At 42.9% G+C, this 26,976-nt stretch overlaps 1 protein-coding gene across 6 annotated transcripts in view, besides 1 other annotated feature; it reads left to right on the forward strand.

Moving 5' to 3' along the window:
• The window catches only part of RAD54L2 (RAD54 like 2), a 129,942-nt gene that overhangs the window by 13,095 nt on the left and 89,871 nt on the right, over nucleotides 1-26,976 (forward strand). The window lies entirely within an intron of this gene.
• Nucleotides 3,299-4,237: an enhancer, noted in NCBI's record as "H3K27ac-H3K4me1 hESC enhancer chr3:51589128-51590066 (GRCh37/hg19 assembly coordinates)". NCBI's record gives its function as "activates a minimal SCP1, AML or CMV promoter by ChIP-STARR-seq in naive H9 embryonic stem cells {active_cell/tissue: H9 hESC(naive)}" and the evidence as "EXISTENCE:reporter gene assay evidence [ECO:0000049][PMID:30033119]".

The following is a 26,976-nucleotide window of genomic DNA, read 5'->3' on the forward strand; positions in this document are numbered from 1 at the left end:
GTGATCTCGGCTCACTGCAACCTCCATCTCCTGGGTTCAGACGATTCTCCTGCCTCAGCCTCCAGAGTAGCTGGGACTGCAGGCATGTACCACCATGCCCGGCTAATTTTTGTATTTTTAGTACAGTGGGGTTTCACTATGTTGGCCAGGATGATCTCAATCTCTTGACCTCGTGATCTGCCCTCTTCAGCCTCCCAAAGTGCTGGGATTATAGGCGTGAGCCACCACGCCCAGCCTAGGATACATTTCTGTAAGTATAAGTATTTCTACAAAGGTTTTGACACAGAAATTCTACTTATAGAAATGTATGCATGTTTAAAATTTTGTTAGATTTTATCACTTTCAAAAGATTGTATCAATTTATATTTCTCCCCGACACTGAACTTTATCAATATTTTTATTTATTTATTTGTTTATTTACCTAGCTATCTAGCTATACTTGCTAGAATAGGAATCAATTTTTTTTTGAGACAGAGTCTTGCTCTGTCGCCCAGGCTAGAGTGCAGTGGCAAGATCTTGACTCACTGCAAGCTCCGCCTCCCGGGTTCATGCCATTCTCCTGCTTCAGCCTCCCGAGTAGGTGGGACTACAGGCACCCGCCACCACGCCCGGCTGAGTTTTTGTATTTTTAGTAGAGACGAGGTTTCACTTTCTTAGCCAGGATGTTCTCCATCTCCTGACCTCATGATCCACCTGCCTCGGCTTCCCAAAGTGTTGGGATTACAGGTGTGAGCCACTGCGCCTGGCCTTTTTTTTTTTTTTTTTTTTTTTTTTAAAGAGAGGGTCTGACTCTTGCTCAGGTTGGAGTGCAGTGGCACGATGATCATAGCTCACTGCAACCTCTGTCTCCTGGGCTCAAGTGATCCTCCCACCTCAGCCTCCTGAGGTAGCTGGGATTACAGGCGCTTACTACCATGTCCATTTTTTGTAGAGATGAAGTCTCACTATGTTGCCCAGGCTGATTTTGAACCTCTGGGCTCAAACAGTCCTCCCCACTTGGCCTCCCCAAGTGTTGGGATTACAGGTGTGAGCTACCATGCGTGGCTGGGAATCAACATTTTGAATCTTTGTCAATTTGAAGCCTAGGTAACTAATTTTTATTTACATTTATTTATTGAAGAGGATGAGCATCTTTTCATGTGTTTATTTCATGTATGTATTTATTTCTTGTCCTTTGTCAACTTTTTGGCTGATTTAATTAATTTATTTTGTTGATTTGTGAGAATTTTTTGACTATTAGGAATTTTTACTTTGTGTGTGTTTTTTTGTTTGTTTGTTTTTCTGAGAGGGAGTCTCACTCTGTTGCCAGGATGGAGGGCAGTGGCGCAATCTCGGCTCACTGCAACCTCCACCTCCCGAGTTCAAGTGATTCTCCTGCCTCAGCCTCCCAAGTAGCTGGGACTACAGGTGCCCACTACCACACCCAGCTAATTTTTGTATTTTTAGTAGAGATGGAGTTTCACCATGCTGGCCAGGATGGTCTCGATTTCTTGACCTCGTGATCCACCCGCCTCCGCCTCCCAAAGTGCTGGGATTACAGGCGTGAGCCACTGCACCCAGCTTAACTTTGGTTTTAATAATAATAATCATAGCAGCTCACATACTGTATACAGGCATGCTTTGGAGATCTTGCAGGTTGAGTTCTAGACCATTACAATAAAGCAAATATTGCAATAAAGCCTGTCACACACATTTTTTGGTTTCCCAGTACATATAAAAGTTATGTGTACAGGCTTGGCATAGTTGCTTATGTCCGTAATTCCAGTACTTTGGGAGGTGGAGATGGGAGGATGACTTGAGGCCAGAAGTTCAAGACTAGTCTGGGCAGCATAACGAGACCCTGTCTCTACAAAACGTTTTAAAAATTAGCCGAGTGTTGCAGTGTACACCTGTTTAGTCCTAGATACTCTGGAGGCTGAGGTGGAAGAATCACTTGCCAGCCCAGGAGTTCGAGTCAGCAGTATGCTATCATTGCACCACTGCGCTCTGGCCTGGGCGACAGAACAAGATCCTGTCTCAGAGGAAAGAAAAGTTATGTTTGCACCATACTATAGTCTATTAAGTTCCTAATAGCATTATGTCTAAAAAAGCAATGTATATACCTTAATTTTAAAATGCTTTATTGCCAAAAAATGTTAACAATCACCTGAGCCTTCAGGACTTGTAATCCTTTTGCTGGTTGTGGGTCTTGCCTAGACATTGATGGCTGCTGACTGATCAGGGTGGTGATTGCTGAAGATTGGAGTAGCTGTAGCAATTTCTCAAAATAAGACAACAGTGAAATTTGCTGCATCGATCAACTTTTCCTATCACAAAAGAGATCTCTGTAGGCTGGGCGTGATCAAGAGATCGAGAGCAGCCTGACCAACATGGTGAAACTCCGTCTCTACTAAAAATACAAAAATTAGCCGGGTGTGGTGGTGCACGCCTATAATCCCAGCTATTCTGGAGGCTGAGGCAGGAGAATCTCTTGAACCCTGGAAGCGGAGGTTGCAGTGAGCTGAGATCATGCCACTGCACTCCAGCCTGGGCGACAAAGCGAGACTCTTTCAAAAAAAAAAAAAAAATTAGCTGGGTGTGGTGGTGCACAGGTGTAATCCCAGCTATTCGGGATGCAGGAGAATCACTTGAACCCGGGAGGCAGAGGTTGCAACGAGCCGAGATGATATTATTGCACTCCAGCCTGGGCAACAAGAGTGAAACTCCATCTCAATAAATAAATAAATAAATAAATAAATGACAGATGACGAAATAAAAATATTTTACCCAAAATACATTTCTTTGCTATATTTTGAAATCTGCAAAGCCATCGTTTGTGGTGGAAAATTTGCATCTGTAAAGAATCTCTATAAACACAACTGGATCTTTTCCCTTCCAGGCCCTCCCAGTCCTGAAGAGATTACCTGAGAGTCTAGTACCTTTTAAAGGTCTGACTAGGAAACATTTGCCACCTTTAAGACTTCATCTACATAATAAGAACCTTGGTCTCCACCATCCCTTCTCTTAACTCAGACCCTCATTTCTTTTCTTTTCTTTTCTTTTTTTTTGAGACAAGGTCTCCCTTTGTCTACCAGGCTAGAGTGCAGTGGTGCGACCTCTGCTTACTGCAGCCTCTGCCTCCCAGGTTCAAGCGATTCTCTTGCTGCAGCCTTCTAAGTAGCTGGGATGAAAGGTGTGTGCCACCATGCCTGGCTAATTTTTGTATTTTTTATAGTAAAAGGGTTTTGCCATGTTGACCAGGCTGGTCTCAAACTCCTGGCCTCAAGTGACCCGCCCACATCGGCCTCCCAAATGCTGGGATTACAGGTGTGAGCCATTGTGGTGGCCCCAGACACTCCTTTCTATTGATTCCAGATTTTTAGATGATAACCAATTGCCAATCAGAAAATCTTTAATCTGTGATATGTAAAGCCTCTCCCCTCCCCCACTGTAGTTGACCCACCTTTCTGGACAGAACAGATGTATACTTCACAGATACTGAGATGATGTTATATGTTTCCCTAAAATACATAAAACTGGCCAGGCATGGTGGCTCACACCTGTAATCCCAGCACTCTGAAAGGCCAAAGTGGGCAGATCACCTGAGGTCAGGAGTTGGAGACCAGCATGGCCAATATGGTGAAACCCTGTCTCTACAAAAAATACAAAAATTAGCCAGGCATGGTGGCACACATGTCTACTGAAAATAGAAAAATTAGCCAGGCGTGGTGTTGCACACCTGTAATCCCAGCTACTTGGAGGCTGAGGTGGGAGAATTGCTTGAACCTGGGGGAGGCGGAGGTTGCAATGAGCAGAAATCGCACCACTGCTTTCCAGCCTGGGTGACAGAGTGAGACCAAGCTGTAACTCAACCACCATCGGCACATGTTATCAGGACCTGTTGAAACCGTGCCTTGGGCCATGGTCGTTCATTTTTGGCTCAGAATAAGTCTTTTTAAATATTTTACAGTTAGATCCATTTCATCGACAGTAATGAAAGAGTATATGCTCGTATTTACCCCCAGACACAAGTACTTTACTTATGTCAACTTCGGTGATGGTGACAAGCTGAAATTAAAGTCAAATGGTTGAATGTCAGAGCCTCCTCCCTTAACTGTGATATTACACAGCCCCTTTTGCATTCTAGTTTCAGAGTGTTACCTTTCTCTATATTCATTCTCCCAGAAGAGGTGGTCTTCATTGTTTTTTCAATCCAACCCGTTCCAATTGAATTTTATCTATTCCTGTTTCTTCTGTAACCTTGATTTACCTATTACATCCTTTGTAAGGTCCTCCTATAGTCTTTCCTAGCCTTGATCCCCTCCCCTTTTGTTTTTTCCTACATAAACGATAGGACCACAGTAACTGCTTAGCTCTGTGCCTCTCATGGTAGCCTAGCCTTCTTCTTTCTGTCCTCCTTTGGTTTATTTTTTATCATCCTCTCATTAAGTTTTACTGCCATTTCCTTACCAATTGCCTTTTTTTGTTTTGTTTTGTTTTTGAGACAGGGTTTTGCTCTTTCACCCAGGCTGTAGTGCAGTGGTGCAATCTGCTCCCTATGGCCTCAACCTCCCTGGCCCATGCTATCCTCTTAGGCGGGTGCCACCATGGCTGGCTAGATTTTACTTTTTATTTTGTAGAGACAGGGTATCCCTGTGTTGCCCAGGCTGGTCTCAAACTCCTGTCCTCAAGTGATCCTCCTGCCTTGGCCACCCATAGTGCTGGGATTACAGGTGTGGGCCACCTCACTCAGTGCCAACCAGATGCTTTATCTCTCTTTTATCTATCTCTCTTTTTTTTTGAGACAGAGTTTCGCTCTTGTTGCCCAGGCTAGAGTGCAGTGGCATGATCTCGGCTCATTGCAACCTCCGCCTCCCGGGTTCAAGCGATTCTTCTGCCTCAGCCTCCAGAGTAGCTGGGATTACAGCCATGCGCCACCATGCCCGGCTAATTTTGTATTTTTAGTATAGACGGGGTTTCTCCATTTTGGTCAGGCTGTTGTCAAACTCCTGACCAAAGGTGATCCGCCCGCCTCTGCCTCCCAAAGTGCTGGGATTACAGGCGTGAGCCACTGCACCCGGCCCTATATATCTCTTAATCCTTTGTTGTCTGGCTTGGTCCTGCATTCCTCCTGAGCAATATCTCTGAGGTGAGTTCCTAGTTGCCTGGACCAAAGATTCTTTTCCTGATGTTTATTCTCCCTTGTTCTGACTAACTCCCCCTTTCCCATCATCCTTGCTGGGAGGGATGTTGCACATGCTTGGCATACACGTACAACTGTGGAGAGTATAGCATCATGAAGCATCATGTACCTGTCACCCAATTTCAACAATTATCAATACTTCTCCATCTTTTTCAATATATTCCCTATTTTTTGTTGTTGTTGGCTTTTTTTTTTTTTTTTTTTTTTTTTTTGAGACAGGGTCTCACTCTGTTGCCCAGGCTGGCATGCAGTGGCATGGCTCACTGTAGCCTCGACTTCCCAGCTCAAAGTATTCTCCAACCTCAGCCTCCTGAGTAGCTGAGACTACAAGTGCACACTGCCATGCCCAGCTAATTTTTAAATTTATGTAGAGATGGGGTCTCACCACATTGCCCAGGCTGGTCTCAAAACTCTTGGGCTCAAGCTATCCTCCTGCCTCAGCCTCCCAAAGTGCTGGGATTAGAGGTGTGAGCCACTGCACCAGGCTGTTGTTGGCATATTTTAAAGCTAGATCTAGACATTGACACTGAGTGTTTAATTAATAAGAACATTCTTATGTTCTTATTAATTACACGCCTGTAATCTCAACACTTTGGGAGGCTGAGGTGGGTGGATCACGAGGTCAGGAGTTTGAGACCAGCCTGATCAACGTGGTGAAACCCTGTCTCTATTAAATATACAAAAATTAGCCAGGCATGGTGGCGGGCGCCTGTAATGCTAGCTACTTGGAAGGCTGAGGCAGGAGAATCGCTTGAAACCAGAAAGTGGAGGTTGCAGTGAGCCGAGATTGCGCCACTGCACTTCAGCCTGGGTAACAAGAGGGAAACTCCATCTCAAAAAAAAAAAAAAAAAAAAAAAAGAACATTCTATTTTATTTTTTTGAGACAAGGTCTCGCTCTGTTGCAGTGGCACAATCTCTGCTCATTGCAACCTTCACCTCCCAAGGCTCAAGTGATCCTCTCACCTCAGCCCCAGGAGTAGATGAAACCACAGGTGTGTGCCATCATGCCCAGCTAATTTTTGTATATTTTGTAGAGAGAGGGTTTTACCGTGTTGCCCAGGCTGGTCTCAAATTTATAAGCTCAACCAATCTGCCCACCTCAGCTTCCCAAAGGGCTGGGATTACAGGTGTGAGCCACCGCCCCTGGCCGATTTGTTTATGAATCTTATCAAGTCTGGCTTGTAAGGCTCTGTTTAGGGCAAAGTAGAATTTACTGATTGACCGAATCCATGCTCTCAGCCCAAATTTCTCCACCAGAGACGTGTGACCTGCCCTTATCTGTCAGTTGGCTCCTGTTTTAAATGTTTTAAAATTTTTCTTAGATTAAATGTTTAAAAAATTTCTTAGATGTTTAGAGGAAGACTATTTTTTTTCTAGTCAAAATCATGTGCCATAGCAGCATCTTAAATATCAATTTCATTTCAAAGGGACTTTGGCAAGCCTTTCTCCTTTGAAGGTCCACTTCTCTCTCTCTCTCTCTCTTTTTTGAGACAGGGTCTTGCTTGCTGTGTTGCTCAGGCTAGAGTGCAGTGGCGTGATTATGGTTCACTGCAGCCTCAACTGCCTGGGTGCAAGTGATTCCGCCCACCTTAGCCTCCCAAGTAGCTGGGACCACAGACATGTACCACTATGCCTGGCTAATTCTTTAATTATTGTAGAGATGGGGGTCTTGCTATGTTACCCAGGCTGGTCTTGAACTCCTGGGCTCAAGCAATCCTCCCATCTCTGCCTCCCAAAGTGCTGGGATTACAAGCATGAGGCACCATGCTGGCACTTCTCTTACTGTCCCATAAGTGGAATAGCAAAGAATGCCTTGTGAAGTATATAGTCAATACATTCCTTAATAGAAATCAACTGTGTAATAGTAGCAGCATCAACAAATAGCCTATTTATTTTTGAGACGGAGTCTCACTCTTGCCCAGGCTGGAGTGCAGTGGCATGATCTTGGCTTACTGCATTCTCTGCCTCCCACGTTTAAGCAATTCTACTGCCTTAACCTCCCTAGTAGCTGGGATTACAGGCGTATACCACCACACCTGGCAAATTTTTTGTATTTTTAGTAGAGAGGGGGTTTCACCATGTTGCCCAGGCTGGTCTCAAACTCCTGACCTCAGATGATCCACCATCCTCGGCCTCCCAAAGTGCTGGGATTACAGGCGTGTATTAATGGCGTGAACCACTGCGCCTGGCCGACAATAGCCCACTGAAATGGAAAGGGTTACTCTTTCACATTTAATGTGTCTAAATTTTATCTCCACTGATATTCTCCCCAGGTTATACTCTCCAGCTTCCTAACCTCTTATAAGGAATCTTGAATCTTAATGAGGGTAGAACATTTGGCTTTTTGTGCTTGCATAAATCTTTCATGTTACATAAATAACATGGAGAATATTTATGTCCCAGATATCTTAAATTTAGTAAGTTTGGTGTCTTACACTTGGTAACTCGGTGCCTCCCCTGAGTGCTTCAGATCCAAACTGATTCATCCCACTGCCTCACTTGATTCCACTTGATTATGGATGGGTCTTTGCATCTGGGTTATTCTAGCTTCCTCAGAGCTCTTCCCTTCCCTACTGTTTTATCCACTCATTGTAGATTTGGTTTATCCAGTTTTGTCTGTGAGGAATGCATGTTTTCTGGGCTTGGCGCCAAATTTTTACTTAACTTTTGGGTAAAACTGTATCCCAGCTGCTGTTCTAGAGATGAGCTCTCTGAAACCAGTTTTATTTGTTTAGGAACCAGATAGTACATATTATGGTGGAAGATGTTATACCCATATTGAAAATAAAAACAATCTTGCTCCAAGTGGAACACCGGTTGTCTGTATGAGAGCCAACGTACTGATAAGTACTGGGCAGTTTCAGCTACAGGAGCTTCCAAATGGGCTACAGATATGATAAGGCTATGTAGTATTTTTGTAAGAGATACTGTTTTGTATGTTTCACATCTATGTAGGATTTGTTTGTGATGTGCTGCTGTTGACTGATTGCCATGTTGTATGCTGTGTGAATCCTCACAGCACAGAGCTGTGGATGCCATTATGCCAGTTGTACAGATGAGAAACTAAGTGATTTGCTCCAGTTAAGTGGTGCTGTTAAACCAGGTATCTGACACCAAAGAGCTCCCACCCCATGATATACCTATGGCCTCTTCAGCAGTGTTGATAGTAAAAGCTGAAATATGTGTGGCATCTGGTTTTCAACCTGGGCTTGTGTTTGAGGAGGAGGTCACAATAGCACTCTAGGCCCTGGTTAGGGAAACCTGGAAAAGAAACCTCATGTGTCTTTTACTCTTTTATTGAGGTTTGAAGAGCAATACTTTACTAGCATAATTTATTTTACCTTCCAAATCATTTTCTTTTTTTTCTTTTTTTTTTTTTTTGAGATGGAGTCTCGCTCTGTCACCTAGGCTGGAGTGCAGTGGTGCAGTCTCTGCTCACTACAAGCTCCGCCTCCTGGGATCACGCCATTCTCCTTCCTCAGCCTCCTGTAGTAGCTAGGACTACAGGTGCCCACCACCACGCCTGGCTAATTTTTTATATTTTTTAGTAGAGACAGGGTTTCACTGTGTTAGCCAGGCTGCGATCTCCTGACCTCATGATCCACCTGCCTCTGCCTCCCAAAGTGCTGGGATTACAGGTGTGAGCCACCGTGCCTGGCCCCCCAAATAGTTTTCAAATCTGGCCTTTCCTCTGGCTTTTTAACTGGCCTTCTATTTTCAATCCCCTTTTATTCCGCCTTCCACATTTCTTCCAGCAAATTTTTTTTCTAGGCCATGTTTTGAATACAATGTGCTAAATACTGAGCCAGGTATCTTTATTGTAGAATTTATATTCCTTCACCACTTGATCCTCTTAAGAAAATTTGAAGGTAGGGAATATCTTCATTTTACAAGTGAGGAAACAAACTGTGGTCCAAAGAATTTAAGTAGCTTGCTGAAGCTCATGTAGCAAAATGAGCTGGTACTTGTTTTCAGTTTGAAACTGTTCTTTTAAGCATTAACATTCTATGCCACAGAGTGACCTTTATAAAAGACGGATCTGCTTATACCATTCTGCTCTTGCTTGGAGGCTAAAATCCTATCTCCTTAGCAGGTCTCCAGGTTGCCCTATGTTCTTGGCCCTGTTACTTCTCCAGGCTCATTTTCTACTCTTCTCCCATACTTCCTACTTTATGCTTTAGTAATACAGACTGCTTGGATTTCCTTGAAAACATTCTGCTTTCTTGTCTCTGAATCATTGTTCATGAAATTCCCTATCTTTTTTTAGGTGAGACAGAGTTGCTCTGTTACCCAGGCTGGAGTGCAGAAATGTGATCTCGGTTCATTGCAACCTCCACCTCCTGGGTTCAAGTGATTCTCCTGCCTCAGCCTCCCAAGTAGCTGGGATAACAGGCATGTGCCGCCATGCCCGGCTAATTTTTGTATTTTTAGTAGAGACGGGTTTCACCATGGTGGCCAGGCTGCTCTTGAACTCCTGACCTCAGGTGATCTGCCCGCCTCTGCCTCCCAAAGTGCTGGGATTATAGGCGTGAGCCACCACGCCCGGCCGAAATTCCCTTTTATCTTTTTCTTTTTTTTTTTTTGAAACAGAGTCTCACTCTTTTGCCCACCCTGGAGTGCAGTGTTGCAATCACGGCTCACTGCAGCCTCAACCTCCCAGGCTCAAGCAATCCTCCCACCTCAGCCTCCTGAGGAGTTGGGACCACAGGAGCATGCCACCATTCCTGGCTAATTATTTTATTTTATTTTTTGTTCCCTATGTTGCCCAGACTGGTCTTGAATTCCTATGCTTAAGCAGTCCTTCTGCCTCAGCCTCCCAAAGTGCTGGAATTACAGGTGTGGGTCATCACGCCTGGCTTGGCTGATTTTTTTTATTATTTATTTATTGTTGAGACAAGGTCTCACTTTGTTGCCTAGGCTGGAGTGCAGTGGCGCAATTGTGGCTCACTGCAACTTTGACTTCCTGGGCCCAAGCAATCCCCCCACCTCAGCCTCCCAAGTAACTGGGACTATAGGTGTGTGGCACCCTGCCCAGTTAATTTTTTTTTTTTCCCCCTGAGACCGAGTCTCACTCTGTCGCCCAGGCTGGAGTGCAGTGGTGTGATATTGGCTCACTGCAACCTCTGCCTCCTGGGTTCAAGCGATTATCGTGCCTCAGCCTCCCAAGTAGCTGGGACTACAGGTATGAGCCACCACACCCAGCTAATTTTTGTATTTTTATTCTTTAAATTTTTTAAATTTTATTTTTTTTTGAGATGGAGTCTTGCTCTTGTTGCCCAGGCTGGAGTGCAGTGGCGTGATCTCGGCTCACTGCCACCTCCACCTCCTGGGTTCAAGCAATTCTCCCGCCTCAGCCTCCCAAGTAGCTGGGATTACAGGCACCCACCACCATGTCTGGCTAATTTTTGTATATTTAGTAGAGACTAAATAAACATGTTGGCCAGGCTGGTTTTGAACTCTGGACCTCAGGTGATCTGCCCGCCTGGGCCTCTGAAAGTGCTGGGATTATAGGCGTGAGCCACTGTGCCCTGCCATTTTTTGTATTTTTAGTACAGACAGGGTTTCACCATGTTGGCCAGGCTGGTCTTGAACTCCTGACCTCAGGTGAGGAGGTCACCCGCCTTGGCCTCCCAGAGTGCTGGGATTACAGGCATGAGCCACCATGCCTGGCCAGCTAATTTTTTTGTTTGTTTGTTTTGTAGAGATGGGGTCTCCCTATGTTGCCTAGGCTGGTCTCAAAGTCTGTGCTCAGCGATCCTTCTGCCTTGGCTTCCCAAAGTTCTGGGATTACAGGTGTAAGCCACCACACCCAGCTTGATATTTTGTAGAGATGAGGTCTCACTTTGTTGCCCAGGCTGATCTCAAACTCTTGGACTCAAGCCATTCTCCCACCTCAGCTTCCCAAAATGCTGGATTATAGGCATGAGCCACCGAGTCTGGCCAGAAATTTCTTATCTTTGAAGTCATTCCCAGGCAATACCTCTGCCTACCCCATTCCCTGGACATTACCTAACTGTCCAATTCTTTCTTCAAAACTCTCTTTGAGCCTCACTCTTAGTGTTTTTTTGCCTTTCCTGACCTGTCGTGTGTATCTTTGTGTCTCCAGTAGAGAGTAGTTTTTTAATAAGTCTTTGTTGAGCTGAACAGAATTTTTGGAGATGTGACTCTCTAGAATTAGACATTCCAGAGACCACCAAAGCTTCCACATTGGTAAGCTGTTTTGTAAATTTAAAAAACCTGAGTAGGTAAGGGTCAGTTTCTGACCTGAAGGATGTAAACGTATTAACAAGAGCATGTTTAGATTTTGGCACCTGGCTGTATTAGAACTATCTTTGTAGAACCATCTTCTTCCTCCTTTTTAAACTTCTATTACTATTTAATATTCATTTTTGGACTAGTACCCTAGGAGACTGTTCCTTATTTTAATGGCTTTCATTTCATGTGGTGCTTTCCAAGTATTGGTTCTCATCCATCCCATCTACTTTTTCTCTGAAGCTTCATAGAACAGCCTGATCCAAGCCCTGAGAGCCTCTTTATGTCAGGGTGCATAGAATGTGCATTTTAGTAGAAGGACCTCCTGGTTTTTGCCACGGTTCCCTCCCCGGTGTGTTCATCAAAGATCATCAGGGTCAGTAGTTAGAAAGTAATAATACCGTAGCATTTGCTTTATCATTTTGCTGAGAAGGGTTTATTTTTTATTTATTTTTTTCTGTGTTTAAGCATTTGGTAATATATTTAGTGAGTTTTAACTAATTGTTAAGCCTGCAGATAATGAAAGTGTTGACTCTCACTGACACTGGAAAAGGCCCAGGTGTGGGAGGATTAGTTATTAGGTGGTAGACTATCAGCTTGTTCTCCACAGATCAAGATGATCCCTTTTCTTTCACTGAGGTTTCTCTTAAATAATTCCTTAAATGTCCTGTGGTTATTTGTAAATCTTTTTTAAAACATGCCACTTCCTGTCAAGTTTAGAAGGCAGCCCAGAGGGGGACAACTTTTGGAAAGCAAAATTAAATAATTGATTTAGGTATCAATGGGCTTTTCAGGGTTTTGAGTCTGCTGGCTATAGTATTTTAATCCTGATGTTAATGGCTTGTATAGATACAAACCCTTCTCAAGGGTTTGAGGCTGCTCCCAGTGCCTGGTAAAGCCTTAGGAAATCTCAGGCCAGGCTTCTTTTCTATTCTTCTCTTAAATTGCGATGAAGCAGTATGTCTCTGCCTTACACAGGAAAACAGGGAGTGCTTCACTTTGGGCCACAGAATACATTAGATTTGGAGTCCTCCATTAGATGTAACTGAAGATAGGAGGTTTCTTTTCTATTCTTCTCTTAAATTGCAGTGAAGCAATATGTCTCTGCCTTATGCAGGAAAACAGGGAATGCTTCACTCTGGGCCACAGAATACATTAAATTTGGAGTCCTGTAACTGAAGATAGGAGGTTTGTTATCTACATGTAAACATAGAGTCAGGTGTTAGGAATGGAGAGACTGGATAGGAGGAGGTATAAGGGGAGCTCTTGGGGTCTGCCCTTTCCTTTAGCCTTCTAAATAAGGCAAATCAGTATTACTAGGATTCAGCAAAACTTAGACATTGGCTTCTTGGCTTAACTATATAGCCTGTTGAAGACACTGGCTCAGGCCAGGTGCAGTGGCTCACACCTGTAATCCCAGCACTTTGGGAGGCTGAGGTGGGTGGATGGCTTGAGCCCAGGAGTTCAAGACCAGCTTGGGCCAGATGGTGAAACCACATCTCTGTTTATTTTTTTAATTTTCTGTTTATTAAATTTTTAAAATTAAAAAAAGAAAGAAACTGGCTCAAATATAATAGGGGAAAAAGTTAAGAGAGAGCAGTCACAGCTTTGCAGGAGCATGTAGTGCATGTTATTTATATGTTAGGATGCTGTTAAGAAACAGCTTTTCATTTGAAGATCATATGTTTGATTCTTTTCTGTAAGTTCAAATGAGGGAAGCCTTATTTCTTCCCATTTTGTTCATCACACTCCTGAAGTCAGTGTCTAGACCTGAGATTAGAACAAAGAGGCCTTTTCACTCCTGTGCACTACTCACTACTCAGTCTAATTGCTAGTCCTCAGGTGCTTGGGGAAGCCTGCATGAGTTGCTAGAATGTCAGGAACATACCATATAGTTATTGTAGCGATTGTAAATAAGATTTTAAAAAAATTACACTTTCCAGCCTGGGCCACATAGACCCTGTTGCTACAAAAAGTGAAAAAAAGTTAGCTTGGTGTGGTGGCACATGCCTGTAGTCTTAGCTACTGGGTTGGCGTGTGGGGGTGCTGAGATGGAAGAATCGCTTGAGCCTGGGAGGTAGAGGCTGCAGGCTGCAGTGAGCCGAGATCTCACCACTGTACTCCAGCTGCCTGGGTGACAAAATGAGACCTTGTCTTAAAAAATATATATGTGTGTGTGTGTGTTTATATACTTGTAGGTAGTGACTACATAGAAATATAATAGATTTTTATTTATGTATTTTTTGAGATGGCGTCTTACTCTGTCACCCACACTGGAGTGCAGTGGTGCCGTCTCAGCTTATTGCAGCCTCTGCCTCCCCAGTTCAAGCATTTCTGCCTCAGCTTCCTGAGTAGCTAGGATTACAGGTGCGTGCCACCATGCCAGGCTAATTTTTGTATTTTTAGTAGTGATGGGGTTTCACCGTGTTGGCCAGGCTGGTCTTGAACTCCTGACCTCAGGTGATCCGCCCGTCTCGGCCTGCCAAAGTGCTGGGATTACAGGCGTGAGCCACTGTGTTCAGACTAAAATAGATTTTTCTTTATTGATCTTTCATGTAGCCACCTTACTGAGCTCCCCCACCCCCCCCTTTTTTTTTTGAGACGGAGTCTTGCTCTGTCACCCAGGCTGGAGTGCTGTGGCGCGATCTCAGCTCACTGCAAGCTCTGCCTCCCGGGTTCCTCCCATTCTCCTGCCTCAGCCTCCCAAGTAGCTGGGACTACAGGCGCCCGCCACCATGTCTGGCTAATTTTTTGTATTTTTAGTAGAGATGGGGTTTCACCATGTTAGCCAGGATAGTCTCGATCTCCTGACCTCGTGATATGCCCGCCTCGGCCTCCCAAAGTGCTGGGATTATAGGCGTGAGCCACTGCGCCCAGCACTGAGCTCCCTTTATGTCTAGTAGTTTGACTATAGATTTGCTATGTTGAAATAATGTAATCCTTGACTCTTTACAGTTTTCTTTCTTTGTTCCAGTCCCTTTGCCTTTTTTTCGTCTTACTTATTGTAGACTCCAGTTTGATGTTGAGAGAAACACTGACTGACAGCATGCAACCTTATCTTGTTCTGAATTTAAAGGGTACACTCCCAGTCATACTGTGTGGGGCTTGTTTCTAGTAGACTCCCTTTATCCAGTGAAAGTTTTCTTCAAGTTTGCTAAGAGTTTGTTTGCTTTTGTAATCATGAATAGGTTCTGAATTTTATCACAGCCTTTTCTGCGTTTTTTTTTTTTTTTTTTTTTTTTTTTTTTAATGACAGAGTCTCAGTCTGTCACCCAGGATGGAGTGTAGTGGTGCCATCACAGCTCACTGCAGCCTCGAACTCCCAGGCTGAAGCTTTCCTGAATAGCTGTGACTATAGGCATGCACCACCATCTTTTCTGCATTTTTAGAGATAGTTATGTCTGTTGACCCTGTTGGCTCTTTCTTCTGTTTGATTAGTTCCTCGTGCGTTTGTACATTCAGTTTGTGAGTAAGGCTTTATCTGTGGGAATCTCACATGGCCTGGGTTGAGATATGTGCCTGAGCTATTTTGCGTTTGCTTCTAGGCACCTAAGATGTATCATTTGCCTAGGACCACTTTAGTTTTGGTTAATTTCTTGGACAGTGTAGGTAAGTATATATTTAAACCTCAAACTGATTTGAGGGCTGACTGATGATTACAGGCTCCCATTTTGTCTCCATCCTCCAACCTAGGTTGATGCAGCTTTTATGTTGTCTTCTGTATTGGCTGGCAGATTTTTTTGTAGTTTACTCTTTCATGAGATTGTAACTCCTTAAGGTCCTGGCTTTAGGTAGAGGTCATAGTTACTCCTTTTTAGCTTTTTTGAGCCCAAGGCATTATCTCTTATCTTTTTATTTGTTCCCCAAGATTGGCAACCTCTTCTGCCAGAACTGCTGCAGTGTCAAATCTCAAGAGTATTAGTCTTGTGTTTTCAGTTTGTTTTTCATTCTTGGTCCTTGGGGGTTTATATTAACTTTTTATAAGCATAGCTGTGAATCATTTAAAAAGGACAGTTATTATAATTTTATCCACATTTCTACATGTTTCGCAGTGGGATAAGTTGCAGGGTCTCTTAACTGCCAAGGTACCAAGTAGGAAGTTCTTGTCCAACTCGTTAGATGTACCTTTTTCATTGTGTTATCTTGTTGGTTTCTACCAGTTATTCAAGTACTTCCTCTCAGTACTTTTTTTTGTTAACTTTTGCAATTTTTTTGTTTTTGCAGATAATAATTTTACAGGCTTTTGCTGCAAAAATGGAATCAGTAGGGAAGCTATAAAATGACATACTTAATCTTGGTTTGTGTTAATTCTGAAATTTGAAATGGGTGTATTTCATAGTTATTGATCAAGATAGCAGCAGCACTAAAGGTGTTTGTAAAACGACAGGGGTCCTTTTCATCCTTTTATGTGAGTGGTGCTTTTCTGAATCTATCCAAGCTCAAAATATGTAATTATTCTTTTAATTTTAATATTTTATTTACTGTAAAGAGTAAACTCCAGTTGCTACAGTATTAATATGTAGTCAAATCTAAGTAGAGGCCTTTTCAGTACGTCATATCCAAGCTAGCACAAAAAATAATTTAGTACAGGAATAAGGCAGGAGAATCCCTTGAGCCCAGTAGGTCGAGGCTGCAGTGAGCTATGTTGGTGCCACTGCGCTTGAGCCTGGGTGACAGAGCAAGACCCTGTCTCAAAAAAAAAAAAAAAAAAAAGAATGTCTTAAAAATGGGGACATTTGGATGTGAAGGTGAAGTTATGCTGACACGTAACTCCTGTCAGAATTGTTATGGTAGCTCATGTTTTTTATCTTTAGTTAGTGGGAGAGATCATGAGATTCTAGAAATGGAAGTGGCTGCGGTGTGGGGCATTTGGTAGTTTATTACTTAGTATGGCTGAGTGGCAGCCTCCAGCCCTGGTTTATAATGTTCTGCAGCTGTCACCGTTGACTTAGCTGGGCCTTTTATTCAGCTTCACTGTTATGTAACAGTGAGTTGCACTCCTCATTCTTGTATGCTGTGGTGAGCAGGAGGGAGGATTAGCTCCTCATCCTGTCCTTTTTCTGTCATTCACTCCTCTTCCCTTTTTTGGACTGACATTTTTATTTTGGCTGCAGTGCTGGGGAAATGTCCACTTGAGACTAGGTCACAAGAATGTTTAATAACTACTTGTTGATTGAATAACCAGAAGATTGTAACTTCATTAACCCTCCTACTCAAATGCAGGCCTGGAGTCTTTGTCCTTGAGATTTGGCAGTTTTTTCTAGGTGTTCCACTTTTCTTCTTCACTCTCAGTCAACTAGATAGTCTGAGACAATGAATGTTGCCAACTGTTATAGGTTGACACAGTGAGCACTGGTGAGGCAGGGATTTGGGGTTTAATTCCAGGCTGCAGCCCCATGGTTAGAAACTATGCAGACCTACATGGTACTCTTAACTGCTCTAGGATGAATGAGTATCCTTGAGCAGTAGGGTACCAGGTTGGAGAGTGTAGAAGTGTTCAGGGCAGGATGTGTAATTAGGGAAGAAAATGCATTGTAAATTTCCTGGTGGGGAATGTAGTGCTATCTTTCATTTTTGTATTAGGGATATAATTTTATATTATCATATGTTTTAATTTGGTGTTTATTCAAATTGTCAACCTTAAATAATGCATTTCAGAGGATATGATTAAGTATGGAGTTTATTTGAGTGCAAAGCTTGAGGATGGCCATCTGGAAACACTGAGTCCAAACAAATGGGGTCAGCATTCCAAAGTGGAGGAGTTAAGGTTTCACTTATGTAGGTAGAGACAGAGAAGTTCCAGCAGGATTATAACATTTTCCACAGAAGACCAATGCATATCTGCAACAATTTGATTGGTTACAGATTGCTACATTTCAAGCAAGATTACTTTATTACTTAATAAGTAGGGGCAGGGATCTGAGAGGTCTTATCTCTAGTGCCACTGGTCTTCCTAATTATTTATAGAAAAAAATACAGAAGTTATAGCTGCATGCCAAGTCACTCAGGCAGCATAACCACATTCCTCTCAAGGCTCAGAATAATTTAAAATTCTAACAGCTTTAAGTTTGAATTATTTATTTTCACAAAATGATGCATACTTCTTTGATGGCCCAAAATGGTATTTTTGTTGATTCTATTTTTTTTTTTTTCTAGACGGAGTCTTGCTCTGTCACCCAGGCTGGAGTGCAGTGGCGCGATCTCAGCTTACTGCAGCCTCCACCTCCCAGGTTCGAGCAATTCTTCTGCCTCAGTCTCCCAAGTAGCTGGGATTACAGGTGTCCACCACCACGCCCAGCTAATTTTTGTATTTTTAGTAGAGACTGGGTTTTACCATGTTGGCCAGGCTGGTCTTGAACTCCTGACCTCATGATCCGCCTGCCTTGGCCTCCCAAAGTGCTGGGATTACAGGCATGAGCCACTGTGCCCAGTCTAATTCTCTCTGTTTTTGAGTCAAATAGTCTTACTGCTTTTTTTCTTATGTGAGTTCTTTTATTTGATGGATATATTTGTGCATCATAGTGCCTGGCACAGTGTCTTTTTAATTTATATTTTTATAATATGCTAACATTTTATTTATTATTATTTGTTTTATTTTATTGTATTTTCAAGACACAGTCTCACTCTGTTGGCTGGAGTGCAGTGATGTGATCACAATTCACTGCAGCCTTGACTCCCTGGGCTCAAAATACTTCCACTTCACCTTCCTGAGTAGCTGGGTCTACGGACGTGCACCACTATGCCCAGCTGATTTTGTAGTTTTTTATAGAGACAGGGTCTCACTATGTTGCCCAGGCTGTTCTCAAACTCCTGTCCTCAAGTGATCCTCCTGCCTTGGCCTCCCAAAGTGTTGGGATTACAGGTGTGAGCCACTGTGCCCAGCCTTTTTAATTTTTTTTTTTTTTTTTTTTTTTTGAGACAGAGTCTCACTCTTACCCAGGCTGGAGTGCAGTGGCGCGATCTCAGCTCACTGCAGCGTCTGCCTCCCGGGTTCTAGCAATTCTCCTCCCTCAGCCTCCTGAGTACCTGGGATTACAGGTGCCCGCCACCACGCCTGGCTAACTTTTGTATTTTTAGTAGAGATGGGATTTCACCATCTTGGCCAGGCTGGTCTTGAACTCCTGACCTCTGGATCCACCTGCCTCGGCCTCCCAAAGTGCTGAGATTTACAGATGTGAGCCACTGCACCCGGCCCTCTTTTAAATTTTTATTTTTATTTATTTATTTTGAGACAGAGTCTCACACTCGCCCAGGCTGAAGTGCAGTGGCGCGATCTCGGCTCACTGCAACCTCTGCCTCCTGGGTTCAAGTGATTCTCCTGCCTCAGCCTCCCGAGTAGCTGGGATTACAGGTGCGCGCCACCACACCCAGCTAATTTTTGTATTTTTAATAGAGACGGGATTTCACCATGTTGGCCAGGATGGTCTTGATTTCTTGACCTTGTGATCCGCCTGCCTCGGCCTCCCAAAGTGCTGGGATTACAGGCATGAGCCACCGGTGCCCAGCCCTATTTTTAAGAATCAATGTTTTGTCATTGGCGTGGTGTCTTTGTACAGAAAATGCATAGGCTTTTATTTATTTGTTTATTTTTGAGATGGAGTTTTGCTCTTGTTGCCAAGGTGGAGTGCAATGGCATGATCTTGGCCCACTACAGTCTTCGTCTCAGGGGTTCAAGCGATTTTCTTGCCTCAGCCTCCTGAGTAGCTGGGATTACAGGTGCCTGCCACCGTGCCTGGCTAATTTTTGTATTTTAGTAAAGACGGGGTTTCACCATGTTGTCCAGGCTGATCCCGAACTCCTGGCCTCAGGTGATACACCCGCCTCAGCCTCCCGAAGTGTTGGGATTATAGGAGTAAGCTGCTGCGCTCAGCCAGAAAATGCGTAGGCTTTGAACTAAATAAATTGTTTGCATTTCTGCCTTTCCCTTTGATCATCATTTTTTTTCTCCAAAATAAAGGTCAGCCACTTTTTCCATTAAAATATTTTCTCAGGCTTTTAGTTCATCCCAGCCTTTGCCCCTTGTTCCCTCTACTGTGACAATATTTCCTGACCATAAGGTCCTTGTATGAATTATTTTGGTCTTTGTACCTCCCATTTTGGTGTCTAATGAAATTTGGCTGTGTCTCTGTGGAATACCTGCTTTTTTTTTTTTTTTTTTTTAAAGACATAGTCTTGCTCTGTTGTCCAGGCTGGTGTGCAGTGGTGCGATCTCAGCTCACTATAACCTTCGCCTCCCGGGTTCAAGCAATTCTCCCTCAGCCTCCCAAGTAACTGGGACTATAGGTGCATCACTATTTTTAGTAGAGATGGGATTTCACTATGTTGACCGGGGCAGTCTCAAACTTCTGACCTCAGGTGACCTGCACACCTGGGCCTCCCAAAGTGCTGGGATTACAGGCGTGAACCACCATGCCTGTCCTCAAATAGCTTATTTATCTGATGAGTGGTGGGACATGCATAGTCGGTTATGTGTACATGTACGCATGCACACGCACATGGCATTTTCTAGTCTTTGACAGATGCCCCTTCTTCTCAAGAATTAACATCTATTATTTTCCACTTATAGAAATAGGGGTTTTTTTTTACTTCATTTTTTATTATTTATTTATTTACTTTTGGAAATAGAATTTTTCTGCACTTCCTCTTACTTGCAAAATCTGTAGTCTGGATTTTGTCCAGACTCCATATACTTTTCCCCAGAGAATAGGAGTATTAGTTTAAAAGAAGCCTTTTTTCTACTTTGCTATTTTGGTTTTAGGTGAAATGTACACTTTCTTTCTCATCTATCTTTGCTAGTATTCACTTGTCACTGTTTTCTTCGGTATTTATGTCCAGCATTAGACTAGAGAGAGACTTACAGGGCTCTATACATTCCTTGTACATATGTAACCGTGATTGGTTAGAAGTGGTGTAAATCTGGCCAGGCATGTTGGCTCACGCCAATAATCTAAGCACTTTGGGAGGCCGAGGTGGGTGGATCACCTGAGGTCAGGAGTTCAAGACCAGCCTGGCCAACATGGTGAAAGCGCCCCCGTTTCTACTAAAAATACAAAAATTAGCCAGGCGTTGTGGTGGGCACCTGTAATCCCAGCTACTCAGGAGACTAAGGCAGGAAAATCGCTTGAACCCAAAAGATGGAGGCTGCAGTGAGCCAAGATTGTGCCACGGCACTGTAGCCTGGGTTTCAGAGTGAGACTCCGTCTTAAAAAAAAAAAAAAAAAAGGCTGGACATGGTGATTCACGCCTGTAATCCCAGCTACTTGGGAGGCTGAGGCACATGAATTGTTTGAACCTGGGAGGCAGAGGTTGCAGTGAGCTATGATTGTGCCACTGCACTCCAGCCTGGGCGACAGAACAAGACGTCTCAAAAAAAAGTAAAAGGTGCTATAAATCTTTTTTTTTTTTTTTGAGATGGATTCTTGCACTGTCACCCAGGCTCGAGTGCAGTGGCGTGATCTCGGCTCACTGCAACCTCCGCCTCCCGGGTTCAAGCAATTCTCCTGCCTCAGCCTCCTGAGTAGTTGGGATTACAGGCGCCTGCCACTACGCCCAGCTAATTTTTTGTGTTTTTAGTAGAGACGGCATTTCACCATGTTGGCCAGGCCGGTCTCGAATTCCTGACCTTGTGATTCGCCTGCCTCAGCCTCCCAAAGTGCTGGAATTACAGGTATGAGCCACTGTGCCTGGCAAAAGGTGCTATAAATTTTAAGCACTCTTATTTCTACAATGCTAAGATATGTGTGTGTGTGTATGTGTGTGTGTAGGAGCCTAAAACAGAAACAGAAAATGTCGGCACAGGTTAGAATAACTTTGTCCATAAAGTAATGGTGAAATATATAATCTAGATGGATACATAAGTCGCTTTACAAGATTCTTCAAAACTGGGCCACGTCCATACACAGAGGGAGGGCAAGCTGGTGAGTACAATTTCTACCTGCTTGTGGGGTGCCGTTTATTTATGTCATTGATCATGCTTAGAGCCTTCCAGAGACAAGCCAAGTGAGACTTTTTCCTCAGAGATGGTTCTAGTTCCTGCTGTGCTCAGAGGAAGAAGGAAAGAGACTCACCCCTTTAGAAGGTAGGCTTAATTAGCCTTTTTAACCCTAAGGCATTGTGTCTTAAAGGAAAGGAAGTTTGTTACTAATTTGTTATTAACTAACTACAGAGAATAGTCAGTTAGGTTATATTTCAAATCTATCTATTTTTTTTTTTTGAGATGGAGTCTTGCTGTTTCCCAGGCTGGAGTGCAGTGACACAATCTCACTGCAACCTCCACCTCCTGGGTTCAAATGATTATTCTGTCTCAGCCTCCAAATAGCTGGGATTACAGGCAAGCGCCACCACGCCCGAGTAGGTGGGACTATAGGTGCGCCACCACGCCTGACTAATTTTTGTATTTTTAGTAGAGATGGGGTTTTGCCATGTTGGCCACGCTGGTCTCGAACTCCTGACCTCAGGTGAGCCACTGCGCCTGGCCCAAATCTATACTTTGAAATGAGGTATTTTGGGATTTGTTAAGTGTTTAAATCTTTGGAGAACTAGGGAAAGAAATTTTTATTTTCTTCCTTGTAATTGTCTTTTAGAAAGTTATTTATTTATTTATTTTTAAAAATTATACTTTAAGTTCTAGGGTATATGTGCACAACGTGTAGGTTTGTTACATATGTATACATGTGCCATGTTGGTGTGCTGCACCCATTAACTCGTCATTTACATTAGGTGTGTCTCTTAATGCTATCCCTCCCCCCACCCCCACCCCACAATAGGCCCCGGTGTTTGATGTTCCCCACCCTGTGTCCAAGTGTTCTCATTGTTCAGTTCCCACCCATGAGCGAGAACATGCGGTGTTTGGTTTTCTGTACTTGTGATAGTTTGCTCAGAATGATGGTTTCCAGCTTCATCCATGTCCCTACAAAGGACATGAACTCATCTTTTTTTATGGCTGCATAGTATTCCATGGTGTATGTGTACCACATTCTCTTAATCCAGCCTATCACTGATGGACATTTGGGTTGGTTCCAAGTCTTTGCTATTGTGAATAGTGCCACGATAAACATACGTGTGCATGTGTCTTTATAGAAGCATGATTTATAATCCTTTGGGTATATACCCAGTAATGGGATGGCCGGGTCAAATGGTATTTCTAGTTCTAGATCCTTGAGGAATCGCCACACTGTCTTCCACAATGGTTGAACTAGTTTACAGTCCCACCAACAGTGTAAAAGTGTTCCTATTTCTCCACATCCTCTCCAGCACCTGTTGTTTCCTGATTTTTTAATGATCGCCATTCTAACTGGTATGAAATGGTATCTCATTGTGGTTTTGATTTGCATTTCTCTGATGGCCAGTGATGATGAGCATTTTTTCATGTGTCTGTTGGCTGCATAAATGTCTTCTTTTGAGAAGTATCTGTTCATATCCTTTAACCACTTTTTGATGGGGTTGTTTGATTTTTTCTTGTAAATTTGTTTAACTTCTTTGTAGATTCTGGATATTAGCCCTTTGTCAGATGGGTAGATTGTAAAAATTTTCTCCCATTCTGTAGGTTGCCTGTTCATTCTGATGGTCATTTCTTTTGCTGTGCAGAATCTCTTTAGTTTAATTAGATCACATTTGTCAATTTTGGCTTTTGTTGCCATTGATTTTGGTGTTTTAGTCATGAAATCCTTGCCCATGCCTGTGTCCTGAATGGTATTGCCTAGGTTTTCTTCTAGGGTTTTTTTGGTTTTAGGTCTAACATTTAAGTCTTTAATCCATCTTGAATTAATTTTTGTATAAGGTGTAAGGAAGGGATCCAGTTTTAGCTTTCTACATATGGCTAGCCAGTTTTCCCAGCACCATTTATTAAATAGGGAATCCTTTGCCCATTTCTTGTTTTTTGTCAGGTTTGTCAAAGATCAGATGGTTGTAGATGTGTGGTATTATTTCTGAGGGCTCTGTTCTGTTCCATTGGTCTATATCTCTGTTTTGGTACGGGTACCATGCTGTTTTGGTTACTGTAGCCTTGTAGTATAGTTTGAAGTCAGGTAGCGTGATGCCTCCAGCTTTGTTCTTTTTGCTTAGGATTGTCTTGGCAATGCAGGCTCTTTTTTGGTTCCATATGAACTTTAAAGTAGTTTTTTTCCAATTCTGTGAAGAAAGTCATTGGTAGCTTCATGGGGATGGCATTGAATCTATAAATTACCATGGGCAGTATGGCCATTTTTACGATATGATTCTTCCTATCCATGAGCATGGAATGTTCTTCCATTTGTTTGTGTCCTCTTATATTTCATTGAGCAGTGGTTTGTAGTTCTCCTTGAAGAGGTCCTTCACATCCCTTGTAAGTTGGATTCCTAGGTATTTTATTCCCTTTGTAGCAATTGTGAATGGGAGTTCATTCATGATTTGGCTCTCTGTTTGTCTGTCATTGGTGTACAGGAATGCTGTGATTTTTGCACACTGATTTTGTACCCTGAGACTTTGCTGAAGTTGCTTATCAGCTTAAGGAGATTTTGGGCTGAGACAATGGGGTTTTCTAAGTATACAATCATGTCATCTGCAAACAGGGACAATTTGACTTCCTCTTTTCCTAATTGAATACCCTTTATTTCTTTCTCCTGCCTGATTGCCCTGGCCAGAACTTCCAACACTATGTTGGATAGGAGTGGTGAGAGAGGGCATCCCTGTCTTGTGCCAGTTTTCAAAGAGAATGCTTCCAGTGTTTGCCCATTCAGTATGATATTGGCTGTGAGTTTGTCATAAATAACTCTTATTATTTTGAGATATGTTCCATCAATACCTAGTTTATTGAGAGTTTTTAGCATGAAGGGCTGTTGAATTTTGTCAAAGGCCTTTTCTGCATCTATTGAGATAGACATGTGGTTTTTGTCTTTGGTTCTGTTTATATGCTGGATTACATTTATTGATTTGTGTATGTTGAACAGCCTTGCATCCCAGGGATGAAACCAACTTGATCGTGATGGATAAGCTTTTTGATGTGCTGCTGGATTCGGTTTGCCAGTATTTTATTGAGGATTTTTGCATCGATGTTCATCAGGGATATTGGTCTAAAATTCTCTTTTTTTGTTGTGTCTTTGCCAGGCTTTGGTATCAGGATGATGCTGGCCTCATAAAATGAGTTAGGTAGGATTCCCTTGTTTTCTGTTGATTGGAATAGTTTCAGAAGGAATGGTACCAGCTCCTCTTTGTACCTCTAGTAGGATTCGGCTCTGAATCCATCTGGTCCTGGACTTTTTTTGGTTGGTAGGCTATTAATTATTGCCTCAATTTCAGAGCCTGTTATTGGTCTATTGAGGGATTCAACTTCTTCCTGGTTTAGTCTTGGGAGGGTGGATGGGTCCGGGAATTTATCCATTTTTTCTAGATTTTCTAGTTTATTTGTGTAGAGGTGTTTATAGTATTCTCTGATGGTAGTTTGTATTTCTGTGGGATCGGTGGTGATGTTCCCTTTATCATTTTTATTGTGTCTATTTGATTCTTCTCTCTTTTCTTCTTTATTATTCTTGTTAGCAGTCTATCAATTTTGTTGATCTTTTCAAAAAACCAGCTCCTGGATTCACTGATTTTTTTTTGAAGGGTTTTTTGTGTCTCTATTTCCTTCAGTTCTGCTCTGATCTATTTCCTGCCTTCTGCTAGCTTTTGAATGTGTTTGCTCTTCCTTCTCTAGTTCTTTTAATTGTGATGTTAGGGTGTCAGTTTTAGATCTTTCCTGCTTTCTCTTGTGGGCATTTAGTGCTATAAATTTTCCTCTACACACTGCTTTAAATGTGTCCCAGAGATTCTGGTATGTTGTGTCTTTGCTCTCATTGGTTTCAAAGAACATCTTTATTTCTGCCTTCATTTCGTTATGTACCCAGTAGTCATTCAGGAGCAGGTTGTTCCGTTTCCATGTAGTTGAGTGGTTTTGAGTGAGTTTCTTAATCCTGAGTTCTAATTTGATTGCACTGTGGTCTGAGAGACAGTTTGTTATAATTTCTGTTCGTTTACATTTGCTGAGGAGTGCTTTACTTCCAACTATGTGGTCAATTTTGGAATAAGTGTGATGTGGTGCTGAGAAGAATGTATATTCTATTGATTTGGGGTGGAGAATTCTGTAGATGTCTATTAAGTCTGCTTGGTGCAGAGCTGAGTTCAATTCCTGGATATCCTTGTTAAGTTTCTGTCTCGTCGATCTGTCTAATGTTGACAGTGGGGTGTTAAAATCTCCCATTATTATTGTTTGGGAGTCTAAGTCTCTTTTTAGGTCTCTAAGGACTTGCTTTATGAATCTGGGTGCTCCTGTATTGGGTGGATATGTATTTAGGATAGTTAGCTCTTCTTGTCGAATTGATCCCTTTACCATTATGTAATGGCCTTCTTTGTCTCTTTTGATCTTTGTTGGTTTAAAGTCTGTTTTATCAGAGACTAGGATTGCAACCCCTGCTTTTTTTGGTTTTCCATTTGCTTGGTAGATCTTCCTCCATCCCTTTATTTTGAGCCTATGTGTGTCTCTGCTTTGGCTCACACTCCGTGGGCTCCACCCAGTGTCCGACAAGCCCCAGTGAGATGAACCTGGTACCTCAGTTGGAAATTCAGAAATCACCCATCTTCTGTGTCGCTTACGCTGGGAGCTGTAGACTGGAGCTATTCCTATTTGGCCATCTTGGAACCTCCCCCCAGTTACTTATTTATTTTTACCTCTAAATACTTTATTATTTCATTCATAGACACATCATTATGTATTGCCTAAGGATGTTCTGTTACATAACCACAGACCAATTCTCAAAATCAGGAAATTTAATATTGATACAATACTATTATCTAATTTATATTCTGTACTCAATGGCATCAGTTGTCCCCAAATATTATTTCCCCTAGGCCCTTGTAGCTATTTTTTCCCCCACACTCCCCCCCTGCCCCACCCCCTGGTCCAGGATCTAACCCAGGATCCCTCATTACAGTTAGTCTGTTATAATCTGAAACAGTTTTTGGAGGATTATTTTACATACATGTTGAGGTATACACAGGTAGTCCCAGGATCCTTGTCTTCTAATTCTCATTCTGATCCTGACTTCCTCACGACATTCTAGGGAACAATGCTGCTTCCTTGAGAGGAAAAGGATTGTGTTTGAATATAACTCATTTGTGTAATTCAATTCCTATGCATTTTTGTAGCAACTAATAGATTTGGTAGCCTAAGGGGGTATGTTGGCCAAGGGAGAGGAGATAGACTGCTGATGGTTAGACTGCTGATGGAATGTATTTTGAACTGCTCAGATCACTACTGATCTTCATTGGTTCTGCTAATTTTGAAGCAGGATATTTCCTTGACCCCCTCATGGGTGGGAACTGGAGTACATGGGGACTAGCAGGAGTGAACTCCGCTCACTCGCTACTCTACTCATCGTGGGAGGGGGAGCACTGGTGAGTGGGTGCAGGAGCTGGGGCTAGTGCTTTTGGGCGCTGGGAAGAGCAAACTCTTTACTGGCCTCGTGGCAGCATCTAGGGGAGGGTGCCTGTGACCCCTGAAGCCCTAGAGGAAGTGTTGCAGTACTCTTTT

Source organism: Homo sapiens, chromosome 3 (genome assembly GCF_000001405.40).
Source record: "Homo sapiens chromosome 3, GRCh38.p14 Primary Assembly".
NCBI classification, from domain to species: Eukaryota; Metazoa; Chordata; class Mammalia; order Primates; family Hominidae; genus Homo; species Homo sapiens.